The 24,648-nt window shown below is 38.2% G+C and overlaps 1 protein-coding gene across 8 annotated transcripts in view; it reads right to left on the minus strand.

Moving 5' to 3' along the window:
* The window catches only part of PDZD8 (PDZ domain containing 8), a 98,167-nt gene that overhangs the window by 51,752 nt on the left and 21,767 nt on the right, over positions 1–24,648 (minus strand). For 7 of the 8 annotated variants that reach the window (XR_945602.3, XR_007061943.1, NM_173791.5 and 4 more), the window contains exon 2: positions 11,955–12,077. The exons of the other annotated variant lie outside the window; for it this stretch is intronic. Coding sequence is in view for 5 of the 7 variants with exons in the window: in NM_173791.5 (NP_776152.1) it covers positions 11,955–12,077 (123 nt within the window). In the remaining 2 variants the exon portion in view is untranslated. The remainder of the gene's footprint in view (positions 1–11,954; positions 12,078–24,648) is intronic. 8 annotated transcript variants of the gene reach the window in all.

Genomic DNA, 24,648 nt, shown 5'->3' on the forward strand with positions numbered 1-24,648 from the left:
ATCTCTACATTTAAACAAAAGGATAACTTTTCATTTCACATTTCTTACAGTTCAATCTTAAACAAAGACAGGCTTTCCATTCAAATTATATAATGACCAGAAGCAAGCAGTAACAATCACTGGCTAATAAATATTTTGCATAAATATAAACAAACATGTGTTAAATATGCAATAAATGAGTATAAATAAATTTCTACTACTACTACTTCCAAAGGGAAGTCAGTACTACTAAACAAAAAAGCAAAAGAAATTGCCTTTTATCTCCTCTAAATTGCCGTCTATCTCCTGAAAGAGCTATTACCTCTGTGAAATTTCTTACCAAGTTCAAAGTATTCTTTTAAAGGCAAAGGTATGTTGAAACCTTCCAGTAAGCATAAATACAAACACCACCTAGAAACATGTTAAGATCGTTTACATGATTAACCCATTTATACCGGAGGTTGAAAAATTTTTTTGTGAAAAATCAGACCTTGGCGATGACGTTGAGCAGTAGGATATAAATAACTCCCACAAGCTTAGAGTTCCAATAATGGAACACTAGGTATAAATGGATTAAAGATGAAACCAATGAGAAAAGGAAAGTAATTCCCAATGCTCATGCTATAAGAAAGTCATTTCTACAAAGAAAAGTACAAAATGATGGGGCATGGTGGCTCATGCCTGTAATCCCAGCACTCGGAGAGGCCAAAGTAGGTGAATACCTTGAGGCCAGGAATTCAAGACGAGCCTGGGCAACATGGCAAAACTCTGTCTCTACAAAAAATACAAAAAGGAGTTGGGTATGGTGGTGTATGCCTGTAGTCCTAGCTACTCGGGAGGCTGAAGTGGGAGGATTGCTTGAGCCTGGCGGGTGGAGGTTGCAGTGAGGCAAGACCAAGACACTGCACTCCAGTCTTGGTGACAGAATGAGACCCTGTCTCAAGAAAGGAAGGAGGGAGGAAGGGAAGGAAGGAAGGAAGGAAGGAAGGAAGGAAGGGAGGGAGGGAGGGAGGGAGGGAGGGAAGGAGGGAGGGAGGGAGGGAGGGAAAAATCTGTTTTTTTTTTTTCCTTTGGTGACTAAACTTAATTTGAAAGGAAAACCCTGCACTTGAAGGGGGTCAAATACCACTTCACCTGTTGTTAAAAGAATCAGGCTTGGTTGACCTTTTATACATGCTCACCTCCTCTCTATATTCCCAACCCCCCTCAGAAACATCCTCATGCAGAACTCAATTTTCCTCAATTTTCACGACTTCCAAATCTAATCTTCAGTCCTCATTTTCCCCCTGCTACCTCTAAAACCCCAAGAGTTTGCAGAACACTCCTACAGGGAAATCTAACCATGCCTTACTACTTAAGATATGTAAAATCAAATTCATCTGCCTTTGAAATGAGTACCTCTATTTCCCCATCCAGTCCTGGAAGGTAACTGTGTCTTGTTCTTTCTATCCTATAACATGCAGAAAATAATCAGTACTTGCTGAGCAGATCAACGTCAATGGATACATAACTCTCCTACACTCAGATCCTTAGAGTTCCTTTGCCTCCCCTGCCTATTAACTCATCCATATATTCAGTCACTCACTAAACCCTGTCCTAGTTATCCCACGTGTCCCTTCCTTCTTGTTCCTATTAAAACATATCTATGAGGCATTTACTTCCTCACCTTTAACCCACAACACCTCTTAAATTTGTCTCTGGGACTTCAATCTCTATATATACAATTTACTCCATAAATATGCACATTTTTCTTAATATCACCTTCAATAACTTTTCTCTGATTAAAGGATCACCATTGTAACTTCTCTTGCCAGCAAATTTGGCCCTGAGACATCTACACTTCATTCAGACAAGACCTGGAAAATACTTTACAATTCTAATTCTCTTTTATCTTATGGCTCTTTTTCCAATTACCTAAAATCTACAATCCATCTAGTTTCCTGAATCTTATCCATGAAGTTTTCCATGGTAGTGTCAATTCAAAAATACTTTTTCCTTGCACTAAGTTTCTATACTACCCATCACTTAAGCCTCAATTCAAATTAGACAGCCTCATATAGTTGACTTATTTATGCATTTGTTTTTGTCTGTTAGCCCTAACTACATTTTAAGTTTCTAGAGGGCAGACACTGAGCTCCATATTTTTTGTATTCATCGTAGTATTTAGACAAAATGCATTCACTATTGATGTTGGAAAGACTGGTGGTAGTGTGGTGGAAGCAGTAGTGGTGGTGGTAGTAGCAGAAATAGTTGAAGCAGCTAACATTTACTGTAAGGACAATTCTAAGAGCTTTACATTTATTATTTCATTTAATTTTCACAATTACTCAAGGAAATAGGTAATGGTATTACCCCTAATTTACACATTAGAAAATGAACACAGAGAGGTTGAGTAACATGCCAGACATTGCACAGCTAATAAATGAAAAGTCTGGACTATATAAGTTGAGACAAATGGGTTGAAAAAATTTTGAAAGAGAGAAAATAAAGGCAGTTGTCTTTTGGTTAAAATTACAAATGCTACCCGTGAATAAAATACATTAAAAGCACTGATTATCAAAGACACAATCCTCTTTTAAATTATTATTTTCTGACCACAGTTCATTTTTGCTGAAGGTATTGTATGAGTGTATAGCATACCAATACAGCATTTAAAACATTTTGGAGTATGGCATTTTAAAAAAGAGCACTGGTATTATGTCAGCTGTGTTCCTACTTAGTTTTCTTACATTCTCTTACAATTCAGACATCAGAAGAATTAAAGAGCTATATTTTGTAGTATGAAACAGTAGTGGAGGTATACAATTACAAAAGAAACAAGGCTATTTTCCAGCATCACAACCTTAGGGAAAAGGATATGGGGAAGAAAAGAGAGCCTACATAAATACAGGAGGGAGAAATTCCAAATTTGCAGTCTTTTGAAAAGTCTGCCTCTAGTCAAAAGCAACCTAATTATACGGAAGATTCTTTATATCTGAGAGAAATGTATAAAAACTAACGGAAAACATCACTCAACTTTTATTTAACTGCATATAAGATGTTAAATAATTAATAAATGCAAACATAGTCTCAAAATCTTTACAGGAACTTGGTTCATCTGGTAGAGTTATGCCTAAATTTACACAGAATTACACAGCTTTAAAGACTTTGAGGAATAATATTCAGCAACAATTCCAAGTAATTCCTTCTGGTTTTCAAAAGCATTCATTTTGAGTGCAACTTTTCCTTTATACAAATTTAAATGTCTTATGCCTGAGCTAATTTCCTCTTATCGTTCCCTCCAAGAAAAAAACAAAAAACAAAAAACAGAACTTCAGCCTTCAACTAAAAAATACTTCATTATTATACACATTTCTCCATCCCTCGATCTTTCTGAAAAGGTAATTTATTTTAAAAATAATGCCCTGCCCTAAAAAATGTTACAATTTTCCAAAACCTACACTTCTAACATAATATAAAAGTTTTCAGAACCAAAATAATTTTTATTCTGTAAGGGTTTTTTTTTTTTTTTTTTTTTTTGAGACTGAGTTCTGCTCTTGTTGCCCAGGCTGGAGTGCAATGGCGCCATCTTGACTCACCGCAACCTCCGCCTCCTGGGTTCAGGTGATTATCTTGCCTCAGCCTCCCGAGTAACTGGGATTACAGGCATATGCCACCACGCCTGGCTAAGTTTTGTATTTTTAGCAGAAATGGGGTTTCTCCATGTTGATCAGGCTGGTCTTGAACTCCCGACCTCAGGTGATCCACCCACCTCGGCCTCCCAAAGTGCTGGGATTACAGGCGTGAATCACCACGCCTGGCCTCTGTAAAGTTTTTTTAAAAAAGGATATGGGCCAGGCGTGGTGGCTCATGCCTGTAATCCCAGCACTTTGGGGGGCCAAGGCAGGCAGATCACTTGAGGTCAGGAGTTTGAGACCAGCCAGGCCAACATGGTGAAACGCCCGTCTCTACTAAAAATACAAAAATTAGATGGGTGTGGTGGCGGGTGCCTGTAATCTCAGCTATTTGAGAAGCTGAGGCAGGAGAATCACTTGAACTTGGTAGGCATAGGTTGTGGTGAGTGGAGATTGCACCATTGCACTCCAGCCTGGACAGCAGAGTGGACTCTGTCTCAAAAAAAAAAAAAAAAAAAAAAAAAAGGGGATATGGAGGCAGAATAAGATAACAGAAAGACCGAGGAACTCTGGAGTTAGACAAAACTAGATTCAAATTCCAGTGGTACTGAGCAAGTAACTTGTGGATCTCAGTTCATCTATAAAATGGATATAATAACACTAATCTTGTAACGATGCTCTAAGAGCTGAAAATAATACATGCAGTAAAGTACCTACATATTGCAGATAATAAGTACAACTAATAATACAATTATTTGTAGAGCCATGCCCCAAATATCTTCAGATTTAGCTAGATATTTTTCCTTAAAAAAATGTCAAAACATTAAAATAAAGGCAGGTAATATAAGAAGCACCCACATACCAACTACTCAGGAAAAAAGCAAATATTATTATTTAGCCTCATTTGCTTCAGGTGGATTTAAGTTATATTCAAGCCAAAATAACCAAACAAATTTAATCAAACTCAATGCTAACATAAACGGGATTCATAGACAAATGCAAACTGGAAATATTTTGAAGTTATAACTACTAAAATAGCTCCTCTTGTAAATGAATTTCAAAATTTCATAATATTAGCAGCCTTCCCTACAGAACTAAACATTTCACTTTAAAATATGAACATAATGCTATTTAAAGGATTAATTCCCTATTTCTCTCTTCTGTCAAACTTCTACTTTGAAAATGCTTCACCTAATATGTGAATCAAGACCAGATGACAACACTAAAAAAGAATTTAATCACATAATTAAATGATTTTCTTTGCCTTAAAAGATCAATGTATTTCTGGTTCCAGAATGATGTCAAGAGTGGTGACACAGTTTTGAGTCTCCCCAAAACCCCCCCATAAAAGGACAAAAAGCAATGAGGGAAACAAAAGCAAAATTCAACAACATGTACAACAAAATGAGGTGGCCAATACTTTAACAGTAGTGAAGTGTCACTCAAATTCTTCCACAGATTGTAATTATAAAAACTGGATAAACAAAATTTTTTATCACATTTAAAGACAATGAAAACCTTCTGAATGTAGACAGAAGCCTGCTTTGAGATTAATATTTCAATTATCAAAAAACTGCAGCTGCAGGCAGGGCACAGGGCTTCATGCCTGTAATGTTGGGCTTCATGCCCAGCACTTTGGGAGGTTGAAGCTGGTGGGCTGGATGAAGCTGGTTGAAGCAGGAGTTTATGACTAGCCTAAGCAACAGGATAAAACTCTTTCTCTACTAAAAATACAAAAAATTAGCCAGATGTTGGTGTCACATGCCTGTGGTCCCAGCTACTTGGGAGGCTGAGGCGGGAGGATCGCTTGAGCCCAGGAGGTCAAGGCTGTGGTAAGGCATGATCATGTAACTGCACTCCAGCTTGGGTGACAGAGCAAGACCCTGTCTCAAAACAAAACAAAACAAAACTGACTCCTAATGTGCTCAGATACTAGATTTAGCAGATCAAGGCTTCAATGCAGCCATTATATATATATATGGCTCAAAAAACTGACAGAACATTTGTTCAAAGAATTAAAGGAAAACATAATGAGTGAACAGATAGGAAATATCAACATAGAAATGAGACACTATACAAAACAGAAATTCTAGAGCCAAAAAGTATAATAAATGAGATTAAAAATTCACTAGATGAGCTCAACAGAAAACTGGAGATAGGAGAAGACTCAGTGAACCTGAAATTAGACCACGTGAATTACTCAATCCAAAGTACACAGAGAAAAAGAATTTAAAGAAACAAACAAATAAACAAGCAAACAAACCAAACCTCAGGGGACCTATGGGAAAATGAAACAGCCCAACATAATATGTAATTTAGAATAAGAGAGGTGGGAAAAAAAGGCCAAAACAATTGGAAAAAAAAAATAGCCCAAGCTCCCAAATTTGGTTGTAACCATTAATTCATATATCCAAGAAGCTAACTGAAATGGAAGCAGGAAAAAACACAAAGAAAGCTCCCTCAGACATGGTCTAAGTGCTGAAAGCCAAACATAAAGTAAAAGGTTGGAAAGCAGCCAGAGAAAAACAACATGTTACATATGGGGGAAGAATAAAAAAAGTTGCTGACTTCTCATCAGAATATGGGATTGACATAGCCAAAGTGCTGAAGGAACAGATGAAAGGAAAATAAATTTCCAGGTAAGCAAAAAATGAGTTAATTTGTTGCCAGCAGACCTACATAACAAGAAGCACTAAAGGAAGTTCTGCAGGATAAAGGGAAGGAATACCAGATGACAATTTTGATATAAAAGAAGAAATAAAGGGCAACAGAAATGGTAAATATACAGTAAATGTAAAAACAACCCACCACTACCAAAGTTTGTTCTTCTTTTAATTTCTTTAAAGGACAGATAACAGTGTAAGGCAAAAATAACACCACTGATGGTTTAATAACCTATATACCATCTGTATATCTTTTTGTACAGTTCTGGGTTTGCAGAAGCATGTTAATACTCTATGTATTTAAAAGCGAAAATCAGTAAGGATGAAGAAAAGTAGGAGTGGGGGGAGACTAAATCTGAAAGCAATCTGAAACAAACCCAACTATATTTTAAATGAACACCATAATCACACCAAAGAGGAAAAACAAGTCTAAATAATTTAAGAACACAGTACTTGACCCCCACGTTCCCTCAACCTTGGGCAGGGTAAGGGAGAATTACAAAGGAATCCTGAACTCTTTGTATTATGTTTTTTGTACTTGTATGGACAATGCATTCTGAAACTAATTAAGATTATTATAGGATTGAGCAAGTGAATAAAAGTGCCGATGTTGTTGAGAGCCATGAAGTAAGAATTGGAGGAAGAACCAAAGCAAGGAACAATTCCATAAGGATGAACTAGAGTTGGAGGTACAGGTTTGCACATTCTTTATCCAAAATGCTTAGGACCAGGAGTGCTTCAGATTTTGGAATATTTGCTTATATTTAACGAGATATCTTGAAGATGAGACCCAAGTCTAAACACAAAATTAATTTGTTTCATATACACTTTATAGCCTGAAGGTAATTTTATACAAAAATATTGTTTCCTGCATGAAACAAAGTTTGTGTACAGTGAACCATCAGAAAGCGAAGGTGTCAGGTGTGTATTTTCTACTTGTGGCATCATGTCAGCACCGAAAAACACTCAGATTCTGGAGCATTTGGGATTTCAAATTTTTCAGATTAAGGTTGCTCAACCTGTATCAGGTGAACTCATGATTTCTAAATTACGTATGTGTATGCATGTATAAGTATTGATACATGAATATATTTCCTAAGTGTCCTCTGAAGAGGTCTATGAATATATGAAGTAGCAATAAACACACCCAACATTCAGATCTTAGTTTCTATTAATAATACCATCCTTTACTAAAATGAACTAGGCAGCTAGTCATGGTGGAACATGCCTGTAGTCTCAGCTAAAAATAAAAAGAATTGGGGCTCTTTGGAAAAATAGTTGTTCTGGGACCGTGGCAGAGAAGATAGAAGATAAATGCAGAACAGCTTGTTACATCAGAAAGTAATGAAGTCTAAAAAAAAAAGACAAAAAAAAAGATGGGGTCATATCACACACAGGATCCATCTTGAGGGGGTTCCTACTGGCCAAATCTGAGACAATTTAGACACCAAAATAATTAAGGACAGTAAAGAATTATAACCATTGAGAAAAATAAAAATTCATGGGTCAATGGTGACAATAAACTAAGAATAAGGGAAGACTCTTGGTAACAGAATAGAATGTCAACTGCTGTGGTTTTCTGTATTTGTGTTATATTTAACATTTAAAACTTAAAAAAAAAAAAGATGTAATATTGAAATCCAGTGAGACCAAACACCCTAGCTGGGCATGGTGGTGGGCGCCTGTAGTCCCAGCTACTTGGGAGGCTGAGGCAAAAGAATGGCGTGAACCCAGGAGGTGGAGCTTGCAGTGAGCCGAGATCATGCCACTGCACTCCAGCCTGGGCCACAGAGTGAGACTCCATCTCAAAAAAAAAAAAAGTAAGATCTAACTAATCCGTAAAGTTTCCTTTGTTGTCTTAGCTGCCAGAAAATTGATCTCTTTTCCATGTTTTTGATCTAATATATCTTCTGCTTAAGTATACATGCTTACATGTTTTCTTTGCAAAATATCTCAAATATCTTCTATCCTTCAAGACAGAAGATAGACTATAAATTATAAATTTAAAAATAATCATCTTAACAATCTGATTGCAACACTAATGTGAAATAATTTCACCTACTAGCAGTACGACAAACAGCCATTGCATTCATCTGTGGTTAAAAAAAATCAGCTTTCATCAACTCAAAAAAACATGCAATTGTTCAGAATGACTGCTTTTTAAAAAATACTTGACAAAAGCAAAATGTGAAAACCAATTTTTACACATAATACTGCCTTTCCACCCTCAAGCTATTGCTTGGGAAATGCGAAACAGTATTTCAGATAGTTAGGAAAGAACCTCCCTTTACAATATGAGACCTTTTTAAATTAATAAAATTCAAATTCCAATTCTCACAAACAAATATGCAAGAAAAAACATGCCGTTTTTTCTTCACAGATACTGCAACGATTATCTTGAGACATAATAATAGAAGCTACATCTACTGTAGGTATCCTATGTGGTAGGCATTGTGGGTAGTTGCCTATCTCTGATTACAATTACCAGCAAAGTAGCTCCCTTGCCCATTTCACAGATGTGTAACTTGCCTAGTGACACTATATAAGGGCATATGGCTAGATTGAATTCAGTGCTTTCTATAACTCAAAAGTCTATGTTATTCCACTATATATGAAGTAATAAGCATTTTTTTGGTCCTTCTTCCAAAAAGAAAGCACTGTTATTTGTGCTTTCATTTTCTCTAGTGCCTCTTTTTGCTTCAGGAATTAGAATAAAACACACAAGCTGAATTTATATTCAAAATGAGATTAACTATTGAAATAAAAATGCTTAGGTTACAGTAATATGTCCTCTTTAGTTTGAATCCTATAAACTTAAAATCTACCTGAACAGAGTTTTCTGTTTTTATACTAAGAAAAAAGTTTACAAGAAAAACAGTAACGTTAAGTTTTTAACGGAAAGAATGTTAGGACTTAATACGAAGACAAAAAAGCAGGAATGAGTTGAGACTTACTCTTGCCTTCATACACAAATAATTCTTAAACTATGTAAACAATAACACAGTACCACAACACTGAGTAACTTTTACATGCTTGGATTTGTAAAAATGGCACAAGGAAATCTCTAGATAGTGTACTTGTTCCCAAGATGAATCTATCACTTGGGGAAAGGTGCTGGCTATATAACCTAAGCCGACAGTTACATAACTTCAGATATTAAAAAAACTATTTTTCCATGTTTTTCCCTTCAGCCTAATTATGTACTCTCTAAAAATACTGGACCTTAATTTTTGACCAGGTGATAAATAAAACAACATAAACAAGTTTATAGTGAATAGCTGGGCTATCACCTTGACCCCTGTCCATCATCATCAACCCAGTTCCTTCCCTGTATACCCCGTAAAAATTCTTATTGGTTTCTCACTTATCCTTTCAGAGATTTATTACACAGTTCCTTATTAAAATAAAGTTGGTTACAGGTACTTCACACATTCTAATGCTTTTCTTTTCATTTATCTCAACATGACCTAAAGAATGTCTGGCTATACTTTCTCAATGCCTTACATGCAGTCTTTGATTCCTGTAGCAAGGCTTTAAGTGAGCAGTACTGCAGGTAAAGCAAAAATGTGGTGAGCAAAGCTGACACCAAAGCTAGTGGTTAAATAGCTACAAGCTAACAGACATATAATCAATACCTAACCCCACCAGCAACATTAAAGCAAATGAACTAGTATTTTCTAAATACCTAGCATAGTACCTATTATATGTATTTTACTGTACACTGCAGTTCCTTTTACAAAATAGACAACATATTTAGTCTTTTTTTGATTTAAAAAAAAAGGGATTCTTTGTCTACCAGGCTTTCTAACATAATGATACACAATCCTGAGTCACCCTGGACTTAACCAAAAAAAAAAAAAAAAAAAAAAAAGGATTAAGTATATTATTAGTATACTCAAAACTAACCTAACCATTAGCAAGGACACAAATGTATTAGATATAAAATATAACCTGTGTGCTCAAGTACTTAATTGTATTATGGGTTGGAAATAAAAGTCATATGTACCAAGTAAGTGGTACAAACAAGTGTCAAAGAAATGTAGCCGGAGGATAGTATACTTGTACTTGGAATGATCAGGAGATACATTAAGAAGGTAGCTTTTGAACCAAACCAAGAAAGGTTGGCTTCATGGAGCAGAGAAGGGGGCCAAGAAAGCAGCAGCTAGTCAACACAATGGGCTTGGTGCTTTAAAATATTTAAGTAGGGAATGGCAAACTACAGCTTATGGTCTAAATTCAGTCCACTGCCTGTTTTGTATAACCTGTGGGCTATCAAGGGTTTCTATGTTTTTAAATGGTTGAAAAGTATCAAAAGAATATTTTATAACATATGAAAATTACAAAATTCATATACAAAGTTTTACTGGCACACAGCCACATTCATTCAGTTACACATTATCTGTGACTGCTTCTGTACTGCAAGGCAGAGTTGTATAGTTGCAACAGAGAGCATGTGAATCACAGCCTAAAATGTACTATCTGGCCCCTTAGAGAAACAGTCTGCCAACACCTTGCCTTGGGAAGGCCTATGTAGCTGAAGCACTATGAATGAGGGGCTGGGCGGAGGATGGTGAGACTGAAGCTGGAGAGCTAAGAGGAACCTGTGTGTCATGGTGAGGATTTGGGTCCACATCCTAAGAGTAATGGGGAAGCTGTTAAAGAGTTTTAACTAGGAGACTGACAATTAGATTTGCATTTTGAAAAGATCATGTTGGTTGTTATATTGGGGACCAGAGGACTAGGAGATATGAAGGCTAGTATAGTAAGTAGCTCAAGCAAGATATGAATATAGCTTAAACTTTGGTGCTGGCAAAGTAAAACAAGGAGGCTAGGCAAGATTATTTCTGAGATCGCTTCCAGTTCTAAAACGCTAAAAATCCACAGTGGTTCAAAGTCTAGTTTTGCAACTTTCCTGAGTGTTTCCAATTATCACAAACAATTCTCAAAACCGTTTTGATAGGTGACAAAGATTCTTTGCCAGGCCAAACTTTACTGAGGTTTCTGAATCTTCTGCTAGGCCCATCTGTCCAGTTTCAGCAAAGAACTCTGCGAAGTCAGTTTAGCAAGAAACCCCTATCCTTGATATCTGATCGTCCTTTACCATCCTCCATGATGTCTGATCACCCTGGACTGTTTTTAGCAAGAATCCTGTTAGGTCGGTTTAGCCAAAATCCCCTTTACCCTTGATGTTTCCTCTTAGTAAGTTTCCATCCACTGATCCCACATTGCTTCTTGGCTATAAATTTCCACCTGCCCATGCTGTATTCAGAGTTGAGCCCAATCTCTCACCCACTTCAAGACCTCACTGCAGTGGCTGCTATACTTATCATGATGGTCCTGAATAAAGACTTCCTTACTCTGCTTTAATAAGTATCATTGAGTAATTTTCTCTTTAACATAGGAACAGCTCCCCAGTAGGTAGAATAAGTTAAAAATAAGCCAACAGAGCACTATGCATCTAAATAGTGTCAGAATGACTACAGAGTAAATGCCTCTCCCTCCATTAAAACACTTTCTAAAATATGATTTATATTTGTTAAAGTTAGAAAGGACTACTTTTATGATATTAAATTTACAATTAAAGAATTTACAGGTAAATAATATAATTTAAATGAACACACAACACAAATACTGCTTAGGAATATTTTCACTGCACTGTTCTTCCCGTAACTTAGTAATGACAAAACAAAGAACATACCTGCTACATTCTAACAACGTAACTTTAAGACGGCCTTCAGTAAGTGCCCATTGTTGTATATGGATATGCTCTTCATCTTCTTCAAATCCTTGCAAGGTCTGGTATGGAAAAAACGGCTTAAACCTGACAAAAGTAAAGATAAGTCTAAATGTCTGAATAATAAACACCACAGTTTAAAGCATAACAAAACTCACCTGTACAAAAACACAAAGCAAAATGAACACCTAATACTACACGTGCTCTACAAAACCAAAGCTTACCACACTCCCCCATAACTGGCAGCAAATGGTGCCTTCGCTATGGCACCCATAAGTCTTGGTTTTTTGGTATGCCCCCATTGATAAGGCAAGAGAGAACAAAGAAAAGAAAAGCCTAGAGGCAGCAAGTAGGCCATGAAGTTTAGGTGGGGCAGGAGAGAGACTGTGAACCAGATGGGAAGAGTGTTCCTACGGTACAAGATCAAAATTCAGAATGCATGTTCCATGGAAATAATATACAGTCCCCTTGGCATCCATGGGGGATTGGTTCCAGTACTTCCCAAGGATACCAAAATCCCAGGATGCTCAAGTCTCTAATATAAAATGGCCCAGTATCTGCATTATACACATTCTCCCATATGTTTTGAATCATCTCCAGATTACTTATAATACCTAATACAATGTAAATGCTATGTAAATAGTTGTTAAGACTATATTGTTCAGAGAATAATGACAAGGAAAAAAGTCTGTACATGTTCAGCGCAGATTAAATTTTTAAAAAATATTTTCAATCCACAGTTGTTTGAATCCATGGATGTGGAACCCATGGATGTGGAGCCCACGAATACAGAGAGCTGACTATTACAGACAGTGATTAGTACATGATAAAGATGACTGTAATAGCAACATCAATAACAATTAACACAGCAGAGATATTCATTAGAGATGTTTACTATTTGCCAGGCAGTATGCTAAGTGCTTTTTACATGCATTATCTTATTTAATGCTCACAACCCTGAAGAGGGCAATATTATTGGCTCCTCTCTCCAGATGAAAAGAATGAAGCTTAGGAAGGTTAACAAGTTTGTTCAATTTTACAAAGTGAATGGCAAAACCAGAATTCAAGCTAGTCTAATTCCAAAGTCCAACTATATAACACCTCAGTTACCTATGAATTATCCAGGCATTCATATGCTCATCACTAATATTGTTGTTTTTATGGAGAAGTTTGTGCTGAGTTATAAACTGTAGGTTTTAAAAAACTTTTAATTTAAAACACAACTCATACTCCTCCATTAAAGCTAAAGAAAAAGAAAATGAAAGAAAATTGGGCTTAAAGCCCCGTGGTTTTCAATTCACCCTACACATTGTCACTAGCCATGATATCTACTTGCTCAGAAAGTTTTAGTGGCTTCTTACTGACCACACAAACAGATACACACACACACACACACACACACACACACACACATAGTCAAAAGTTCTTGGTTTCACATTTAAGGTCCACCACAATTAATGTTCCTTTTTTATTTTTTCTTGAGACACAGTCTTGCTCTGTTGCCCAAGCTGGAGTGCAGTGGCACGATCTTGGCTCACTGCAACCTCTGCCTCCTTGATTCAAGCTATTCTCTTGCCTCAGCCTCCCAAGTGGCTGGGATTACAGGCATGCACCACTATACCTGGATGATTTTTGTATTTTTAGCAGAGATGGGGTTTTGCCACGCTGGCCAGATCAGTCTTGAACTCCTGACCTCAAGTGATCTGCCTGCCTCGGCCTCCCACATGGCCTCCCAAAGTGCTGGGATTACAGGCCTGAGCCACCACACCCAGCCCACAATTAATCTTTCTAATCATATATTCTCTTAATATAAACATTCCAATCTAGAAAGTCACCTCATATGCCCAGAAGACACTATGAATATTCCTGCCTTCAGGCCTTTCATACCAACTGGAAGTTTTCCCAGATTCCTCAAAGCCTGTCCAAATCCTCCCCTCTTTCGCACTCGGCCATACATGCTGCTTTCACTCTTCTCTATCTTGCAGTCCTCTAAATTGCGTGCATTTATGCCTTAAAATGTCAAATATGACTTAGTCTCACAATTCTCTGCATCCATCATCCATACCTGACGGGATGTTTCACACACTATCAGGATTTGAGTATGTGTTGCGCTGATTTACAAAGAGTTAACACTAAAACTGAAATAAACACTTAGAAAATATCAATGGCCTACTATAGTTTATACTGAAAGACACTAATAGAGGGGGTTAAATGCTGTTTTATGTTTTCCCAGTAAGTAAGATTAAAGAAAAAAATTTTAAGGAAATGTTAAGTAGGGACACAGGCGATGCTCAGTGGTTTTCTCCTGTTTCTAAACTAGTATGGAAAGCAGAAAGCCCCCCGAGTTTCTCCCAACTAAAACGCTAATTTGCATTTGAAGTCATTTGATTCAGACAGACTGGCACCAAATTTTTAGAGGGAAAAAAACTAGTAACTAAATTTATATCAATATAATGTTGTAGCTGGGTGCTTTTAACACACAGTCCTTATGACTCCTGAAAAACATATAACTGTTAGTTTGTAAAAAAATTATAATAACCATATACACTAGAAACTTTGAATTTAATAATCCAAGTTAGCTAAATCACAACTGCTCTAAGAACCAGCTTTCCTTGTCAAATATAAAGTCAAAATTCAATAAAATTTCTCACAGGAGTATGAGTTGAATGTTATATGGATTAAAGTCTAATTTGGATTTACTAATGCTCAGGGGGTTTTGCTAAGAGTGTTTATGCACAAAAATAATCTAAAATCAGAACAACGTATTCCATTTTAAATGAATATACTAAACGGTGGGATAAAGCATGAACATGTTCGGCAAGCCAATAAATAGAATCCACACATTAACATTCTCTAAGAACCTTTGGTTTTCAGAATTTTTAAGTCCAAGTCTTTAAGTATCCCAAACCCATAAAGAATCCAAACAATGAAGCGGGCTACCTCTATCACTTTCTTTTATCTTCCTATTCCATCATATCATCTTTCTTCAAAATCCATTAGTCTTTATTTCCTAATTAACCTATTAACTCAAAAATGTCAGTTTTCTCACTCAGGCTTCCCCGCAAAATAGTCTTAACAAACTACCTGTACTTCCTCCTGTAGAAAACTTAAAAACCCAAACTAGGAAGATCGACTTTAAGGATGACAGTATGAAGAGCCCTGCTGATCTGCTCCCCAGTGAAATTCGTGAAAATTATTTTAAACCAAAACATTTACAGCCTCTGGAAATGATCTTAAGAGCAAACAGCAAATTTTAAAAATCTACTTAAGAAAATCGATGACAATTTGATAAGAAAGCCAAGTCTGTGGTGTTTGAACCCTGTTTCCCCAACAAGCTCAGGGTGGCAGATTCCACAGTAGACTTCTTTACTTTTTATTTTTTATTTTTTTGAGACGGAGTCTCAATTTGTCGCCCAGGCTGGAGTGCAGTGGCACAATCTCGGCTCACTGCAAGCTCTACCGCCTGGGTTCACGCCATTCTCCTGCCTCAGCCTCCCGAGTAGCTGGGACTACAGGCGCCCACCACCACACCCGGCTATTTTTTTGTATTTTTAGTAGAGATGGGGTTTCACCGTGTTAGCCAGGATGGTCTCTATCTCCTGACCTCGTGATCTGCCCACCTCGGCCTCCCAAAGTGCTGGGATTACAGGCGTGAGCCACCACGCCCGGCCACTCCATGCTAGACTTCTATTGCCAGGAACACAGGGCTCCCTCATCCCACAGCTCTCATTTGGTGGGCTTTCTCCCTGGGAAGAGGAGGATAGGAACATTTCTCATCTAGCCTCCAGTCACCTGTTACTTCCAGGCAAGTTCAGTCAAGAGGAGGGGGATTCCTTCATTGACCCAGCCCCCACTCATGGAATGGAGGGTCTACCTTGGGCACAGAACACTGAGAATACTGGAACCCTGACTGTCTTGCCCTGGCTCATGAGGAAGTGGTTCCATAGTGGGAAAGGCAAGCCAAGAGGACCTCTGGCTACTCTATCCCCAATCTAGCACTCAGCTCCTAGAGTTGTGGTATCACCCAGAGAGAAGCCTGCAGTAGTCTTCACCCCTAGCTCCAGAGACCTGGTTCTGATTATTTTGCTAAGGGGAAAAGAAGAGGGAGAGGCAAGTCAGAAAACAGATTCTCCCAATCTCTTCCCAAAGGAATTAATTTCATTTACAATAGTCTGTGAAGAAGCTCAAACCTAAAGGCACTACCAAGAACAATGGAGGTTGTGGTGAAAAGCACATGTCTTCCTTCATGGATTTAAGGAAGACATATCCTAGGCTGCAGGCTGCTGTGCCCCTAGTAGAGAAACAGGAAATAAGACAGCTGGGAGGAGCCCTCCTGGGGTGAGAGCAAATATCAAACACTTACCCAAGAAACTATTCCTGAAGGAGGCACAATTTGACTGGAATAGTTTGTAGAACAAGTTATGCCCCTGGGTGCTGTTAAAAGCAATAAGAGAGTTAACACTAGTGGGGGGGTAAGTGGGGTGGGTGTACTGTACTAAAATAATCCAGGCAGTCAACCTAAAAACAGACAAGCAAATATCAAGCTCTGGGTAAGGGGAGACCAGTATCTAAGGTTGCTACAATATATTATCTAAAGTGTCTGGTTTCCAAGAAAAAGTTATGAGACATAAAAAGAAACAGAAAAGTATGACCCATACAGCAAAAAACAAAGAAAAAACAAAACAAAACAAACAAACAAAAAAACACACACTGCCTGTGAGAAGGACCAGATGTTAGATTTAACAGAAAAAGATTCAAAATTTGTGGAGACCAAAGTTCTTATTTACAGAGGAAGCCTTCAGGTAGTAGGCTTTGGAGAGAATAGGCTGTAAAACGTTTCTTATCAGACTTAAAGTCTGTGTCCATGTTAAATATGTCTCCATAAATATGTTCATGGAAAAAGACATGATTAAAGAACTATAGGGGTTCAGCTATAGGGGTTCAGCCAGGCGCGGTGGCTCAAGCCTGTAATCCCAGCACTTTGGGAGGCTGAGGCGGGCAGATCACCTGAGGTCAGGAGTTCGAGACCAGCCTGACCAATATGATGAAATCCCGTCTCTACTAAAAATATAAAAATTAGCCGGGCGTGGTGGCATGCACCTGTAATCCCAGCTACTCAGGAGGCTGAGACAGGAGAATCGCTTGAACCTGGGAGGCGGAGGTTGCAGTGAGCCGAGATTGCACTCCAGCCTAGGCAACAAGAGCGAAACTCCGTCCAAAAAAAAAAAAAAAAAAACTATAGGGAGGTATTATGACAATGTTACACTAAATAGAGCATACCAATAAAGAGACAGGAATTGTAAAAAAAGAAACTATGAACCAAAAATAAAATTCTAAGATCCCCCCAACCACCTGATTGAATTTCCTCCTCAGCCAGGGCACTCTTAAAATTTAATCTGAAAGAATGGTTCAAGCCATGATGGCAAATGGGGGTCGGACATGCCAGAGATGCCTCATTATACCCCTCCAGCATTAATAATACAGGAGTTATTAATAAGTAATTTTTAGGCAGCAAGAAAGGGTGAAAGTTCTCGGTGGAATTTTCCTTTAATAAAAAGCAGCCCCCAAATCATTTCTTCTCTAACAGAAAGCAGCCACAGAAGTCAGGCATAATATGCAAACTAGGAGCTTTTATATGTAAATGCCAGCAGCTGTACCTGGAAGCCAGGTACATTCAGTATGGTGTCTCCTCCCCTCTTTTCCTTGTCTCCTGCCCTCTTTTCCTTGTCACCACTTTTAGGGTTTCCTGGCAGCCTCCTGGTAAAACCACGTACAGGCATCATGGCCGCCGCCAGGTGGAGGCCTCATTTGTATAATAAAAGGCTAGGGTGGGAGGGCCAGTCTTTTTGGGGCTATGTAAGTAGCACACCTGGTCAACCCAATCCCCTGAGCCCTATGTATATCAATCACTGCCCCCTCAAGCCTCTGTACAAAACCTATGGCTTTTCACAGTAAATCAGAGACCCTCTTTTGAGCTACCCACTTTCTTAGCATGAGGAAGCTTTTTCTCTCTCTTTTCTTTTTCTATTAAACTTTCCTCTCCTAAACCCACCCCTCCTGTGTGTCCCTGTCCTGAATTCTTTCTCCACCAAGACCAAGAACCAGGGTATATACCCCAGACAATGGAACCGTTTCATTAACATCAACACAGATGCGGGACAGGCCTCATTATACCCCGCCAGCATTAACATGGACACAGACTTTAAGTCTGATAAGAAACGTTTTACAACCTATTCTCTCTGAAGCCTACTACCTGAAGGCTTCCTCTGTAATAAATAAGAACGCTGGTCTCCACAATTCTTTATCTTAATTCAGACATTCCTTTCTATTGATCCCAGGTTTTAGATAAACTCAACCATCAACCAGAAAATTTTAAAATCTACCTATAAGCTGGAAGATGCCCCCTAGAGTTGTCCTGCCTTTCTGGACCAAATCAATGTATTTCTTAAATGTATTTGATTGAAGTCTCATGTCTCCCTGAAATGTATAAAACCAAGCTGTACCCCTGATCACCTTGGGCATATGTTCAAAGGACCTCCTGAGGGCTGTGTCACAGGCCATGTCACTCATATTTGGCTCAGAATAAGTCTCTTCAAATATTTTACAGAGTTTGACTCTTTTTGTGGACAAAAAAAAATGGAAATTCTGTAGTCAAAAAGTACAATAAGTGAAATTTAAAAATTACAGAGGAACTCATAACAGTAGATATGAACTGGAATAAGAATTAGTGAAACACATAATGGGAGAACCAGAAGGAGAGAAAAGAGACAAGGGAGTAGAAAAAAATACTCCAAGAAATAAAACACACAGCCAGTACGTCCTGAAGCCACAAGGATCAGATATTATATGACTCCATTCATATGAAAACCCAGAATAGAGAAATTTATAAAGACAGAAAAGTACATGAGGGGTTATTTAGGCCTGGGGGTAGGTAAGGGATTAGGAGGGTGATAGCTAAAGGTTATGGGTTTTCTTTTTGAGATGATAAAAATGTTCTAAAACTGACTGTGGTGACGGTTGCACATATATGTGAATACAGTAAAAGCCAATTAAATTGTAAGTTTTAAACAGGTGAACTGTATAGCATATGAATTATATTTCAATATAGCTGTTAAAATGAAAACCAATAACCCTGCTACCCAGAAATAATTTTTCTTGTCACTGCTTTGATGTATAACTGTTTGGTTAGAATTGTCTGATAAAATAATAAAATCATAAAATGGCACAGCTTCGTTAAAACAAATTATAGTCCCTTTTAATGCTTATGAAAAACAAACATTTATTGAATGGCTACCAAACCAGATGCTGACTGTATAAAGCACTTTATTTGCTCACTTAATCCTTACAACCTCCAAACTAGGCATCAGCACACTGTACATAAGGAAACAGTCTTAAGAGATCTCAGTAAGAGATCTAGTAAATGCTAGAGCCAAAACTGGAACTTGTGTTAATCCGCGATGGCTTCCATAACAGAACTCTGAGTGGCTCTGGAGGCTGGAAGTCGAAGATCAGGGTACAGACAGGGTTGGGTTTTGGTGAGGCCTTTCTCCTTGGCTTGGCGATGGCTGCCTTCTCACTGTGTCCTCTCACAGACTTTTCTCCATGTGCATATTCCTGTTCTCTCTCCCTCTTCTTATAAGGAAACCAGTTTTATCAGATTACTGCTCATCTTTATGATCTCATTTAATTAACCTGATTACCTTGGTAAAAGCCCTATCCCAAACAGAGTTACACCGAGGGTTGCAGCTTCAACATATTTTATCAATTTTTGAGGGGAGCACAATTCAGTCCATAACAAAACTCATATGTAACTCCAGAGCCTGATCTACAGTCCCTTAACTGACTTGATTACCACCCTGTTTTCTGCTGGAATACAAGTTCTAAACCAAGTCTGAAGGAGCCTGACAAAGGAGGCTCATGGTTTTACATACATTACTATATTTGATCCTCACAATAACATGGTATGGCAAGAATCGCAAATCATTTTCTCATTTCACACAGTCCAGGGAGAACAAAAAGCTTGCTGAAGACTACATCCTTTTATTAAAAAGTTACATGAAGATACATGCCCACAAAATAAGGGCATAAAGCAAGACTGAAGAAAGTGATCCAAAAACAGTGGATCTAAGTCAAGAGGGCAACGATGTCCTAAACCCAGATGACTGGTGTGTGGCAAGCCAAGAGAAAACCCATTTGGGGCAGGTGATGAAAGCTCCAGGAAGGAAATCTCCAAGAAATAAGAGGAAATAAATAGGAGAGGCAGAAGGAATGAGAAGGGAAAGGAATACTCTGAAAATCTGAGTAAGGCAATTTGATAAGAGAAAAAAATATTGCTTTGAATGGCACCAAGGTAACGAAACTGGAATATAGAGAAGGAAACATAAATCTGCATATTAGACAGTTCTGTAATAAACAGTACTTACATAGACATAATAATGTAAAAACACAGACCAAGGAAGACTAACTATGAACAGAACATGTTATCAATTATATAAAAATAAGGATGGCCAGGTGTGGTGGCTCATGCCTGTAATCCCAACACTTTGGGAGGCTGAGGCAGGCGACCTGCTTGAGCTCAGGAGCTCGTGACCAGCCTGGGCAACATAGCCACACCCCATTTCTACAAAAAATACAAAAACCAGCTGGGCATGGTGGTGCGCTCCTGTAGTTCCAGCTACACTGGAGGCTGGGGCAGGAGGATCATTTGAGCCTGGGAGATCGAGGCTGCAGTGAGCTGAGATCACAACACCGCACTTCAGCCTGGGTGACAGAGTAAGACCCACTCTCAAAAATAAAAAAATAAAAAAATAAAAATAAATAAAGATGTAGTTCAGTGAATGAATGGAAAATAGTTAATATAACTATATCAAAAAAGGCAAAAGAGAAGGTGAGAGGATATTACTTAGTGAAATCTTTTATCTTCTGAAGCCAATTAATAGTCACTGTCTAAAGCTTCTGACTCAAGGATAGCTATATGACACTGTTTAGTAATACAGAGGTAACACCACTATTATTAGTATAGCTAACACTTATTACATACTTAGCATGTGAAAGGCATTATATTAATTAACTTAATTCCCAAAACAATTCTTTGAGATAGGTACTATAATCAGCCCCATTTTGCAGATGAGGGAACTAAGACACAGAGAGGTTAAGTAACTTGCTCAGGGATACACAGCTAGTAAGTGGTAGAACCAAAATAAGAATCTAGGTAGTCTAGCTCCAGAATCTGTTTTTTTTGTTTGTTTGTTTCTTTTTTTTTTTTTTTTGAGACGGAGTCTTGCTCTGTCCCAGGCTGGAGTGCAATGGCATGATCTTAGCTCACTGCAACTTCTGCCTCCCGGATTCAAGCTATTCTCCTGCCTCAGCCTCCCAAGTAGCTGGGATTACAGGGTGCCCACTACCACGTTCGGTTAATTTTTGTATTTTTAGTAGAGACGAGGTTTCACTGTGTAGGCCAGGCTGGTCTCGAACTCCTGACCTCATGATCCACCTGCTTCGGCCTCCCAAAGTGCTAGGATTACAGGTGGGAGCCACCACGCTTGGCCCCAGAATCTGTGCTCTTCATCAATGCCTCTTAAAAGTTGTTAAAAATAGAAATACATAGGCCGGGCGCGGTGGCTCACGCCTGTAATCCCAGCACTTTGGGAGGCCGAGGCAGGCGGATCACAAAGTCAGGAGATCGAGACCATCCTGGCTAACATGGTGAAACCCCGTCTCTACTAAAAATACAAAAAAATTAGCTGGGTGTGGTGGCAGGTGCCTGGAGTCCCTGCTACTCAGGAGGCTGAGGCAGGAGAATGGCATGAACCTGGGAGGCAGAGCTTGCAGTAAGCAGAGATTGCACCACTGCACTCCAGCCTGGGTGACAAAGTGAAAAAAAAAAAAAAAGAAATATATAGTTACAAATGATTGCTTCTGAACAGTCTAGCTTAGGGCAGGAAAGTAAAGGGTTTAGGGAGGCAATTGCTGATTTTCATCATAAGTTCTTCTGTTTTGATTTTTAAGTTACATGCATTAAGTAAAATGAAAGAACAAACAATGCCAAATGTTGGAGAGGATGTGAAACTGCTGGTTTCGACTATTAAAACTACTTTGAAAATTGTAGTAATATCTACGAAGCCAGTAGAGATCCACCCTATGACTCTGCAATCCTACTCCTCGATATACCCAAGAGAAATGTGCACAAATGTTCACCAAAAGGCATATATAAGAATATTCATAACAACACTACCCATCAACAAAAATGGACAGACTGAAGTACATTCACACAGTGGAATACTCCACAGCAAATATAATGAACAAACTACATCTATATGCAACAACATGGATTAATCTCACAAACTACTCTTGAGCTAAAGACAACAAAAATGAGTACATACAGTATGATTCAATTTATACAAAGTTCAAAATCAGGCAAAAAACAAACACAAAAAAATCTAAAAATAGTGTTAGAAGTCAGGATAGTAGTTACTTTAAGGCAGAGGAGAGGAAGGTAGTGACTAGGTAGCATATGAGGAGCTTCTTGGTTGCTGGTAACACTCTGTTGCTTGTTTTGAATGCTGATTTCATGAGTTTGTTCACTTTGTAGACATTCATGGAGCTGAATTTTCTGATTAGTACACTTTTCAGGTGGTGAGTTATATTTTAATAAAAATTTAAAGAAAAAACATGTTTTTTTCTTTTTTTGAAGACAGGGTCTTACTCTGTTGCCCAGGCTGGAATGCAGTGGTGTGATCATGGCTCACTACAGCCTTGACCTCCTGGACTCAAGCAATCCTTCTGCCTCAGCATCCCAAGTAGCTGGCACTACAGATGCAGGCTACCACACCCAGTTATTTTTTGTAGAGGTGAGGTCTTGCTATATTGCTCAGGCTGGTCTTGAATTCCTGGGTCCAAGCAATCCTCCTGCTTCGGCCTCCCAAAGTGTTGGGATTCTAGGAGTGAGCCACTATACTTGGCGTGTTTAATTTTTAAATGTGCATTATTTTACTAACACTTAAAATACATATTTAAATTTATACTTACAAGAGAAGCCAAGCCTTCTTCTCCTGTGTAGATCTGACAGAACCTTTTGTAACATCTAAAATATGTCTTACTTTAAGATGTCTCTTCAAGTTTGCCCTATAAGCATGCTGAATACCAGCTGGTGACATCTCCATCACATGGCAGCAGTAAAACTGTTTGCAAACACTGGGATCTTTAGAGAGAAAGGTTTTACTACAACCCAATGTAAAAATATGCAGAGGTCTAGATCTACTGTTAACTGCAGTTGAGCGTTCATGTTCTTGCTCAAGTGATAAATCTGCTAGAGTTTTCAGATCAATACGAGAAAACTTTGTGACAATTAGAGCTAGTGAAAAAAGGACATGGCTTTCTCAGTATGTAGTAGCAAGCCTCTATCTCTAGAAATATTTAGGCAAAGGTTAGATGAGGATTTGTCAAGGAGACAAAAAAGAACACAAAAAAGAAGACAAAGGAACACAAAACTTAGAATCATATATACATATAGATTGTTGTCCCAACTTCATCACTGATAAAGCAGGTGATATTGGAAAAGCCTTTTATCTCCTTAAACTTCAATTTCTTGTTCAAAAAGGGAGGAGGGGAATAATCCATGCTTTTTGTTACCTATGAGAGGGTGAAGTAAAACTAATTCATATGCCAGCATCTCTTAAACTACAAGGTATTGTAACCACCTGAGGGGTTCTTCCTGCCCACAGCATAAAGACAGACCATGGTGGCATTGTCATAGAGGAAGAGTTTAATAGACACAAGGCTGGCCACACCACAGGGGAGATAAAATTTGTACTCAAATCACTTCATTCAAAGCTCGTAGGGGAAGGGTTTTTCAAAGGCAGTTTGGGGAAAGGAGTGGGGTGGCCAGCTAACAGGGGCTTGCTGCTGATTGGTTGGGGCAGAGATGAACTCATAGGGGGCTGAAGCTGTCCTCCTGTGCGCCAAATTGCTTCTGGGTGGAGCCACAGGAGTGGGGTTGTAATAAGTCCTAATACAATGCCACTTTTACTAAAACACATTTCCTAATCTGCATTATAAAGCTGTATAATTTCTATAAAGTCACAGTATCTCACTTTTAATGGTTTACAGAAAGTAAATTCTAGTGTCAATCATGGGCTCTCTATTAAATTTACTTTAGATATCTAAAACAGTACCTCTTGTCTTCCAAACTATTTTGTCTAGGTTATGATGCTGAGTAAAATATAAAGAACTCAATAAAATTGTTCAGCAATTCTATTAATACTGACTTGGAGTCCTAGAGGGAGTGGAAATCAATAATAATGGTAATGACCTTCCCAGTGCAGTTTGATGGCTCTCAAACTTTCTCGAATTATTCCAGTCCTCCAAGAAAGACCCATATTAGTCACAATATTTCAGAAGGAAGGGGTAAACAAGTCCACGTGATTAAAAGATCAACGAATCTCTCTCTGTTCTAATAAAAATCCATGCTAGTTTATTATAAGGAACACTATGAAAGTCATTTCTGAGAATCTACACCTTGATGTTTTCTAATTTGGGGATATAAAAAAATGATCCTAAGCTAGATGCTAAAGAATTATTACTTTTTAAAGGTTTGATAGTGGGATTATACTTTTTTAAAAAAAGACATATTGATGTTATACATAAATTTTGTTCAAAA

This window comes from Homo sapiens, chromosome 10 (assembly GCF_000001405.40).
Source record: "Homo sapiens chromosome 10, GRCh38.p14 Primary Assembly".
NCBI lineage: Eukaryota > Metazoa > Chordata > Mammalia > Primates > Hominidae > Homo > Homo sapiens.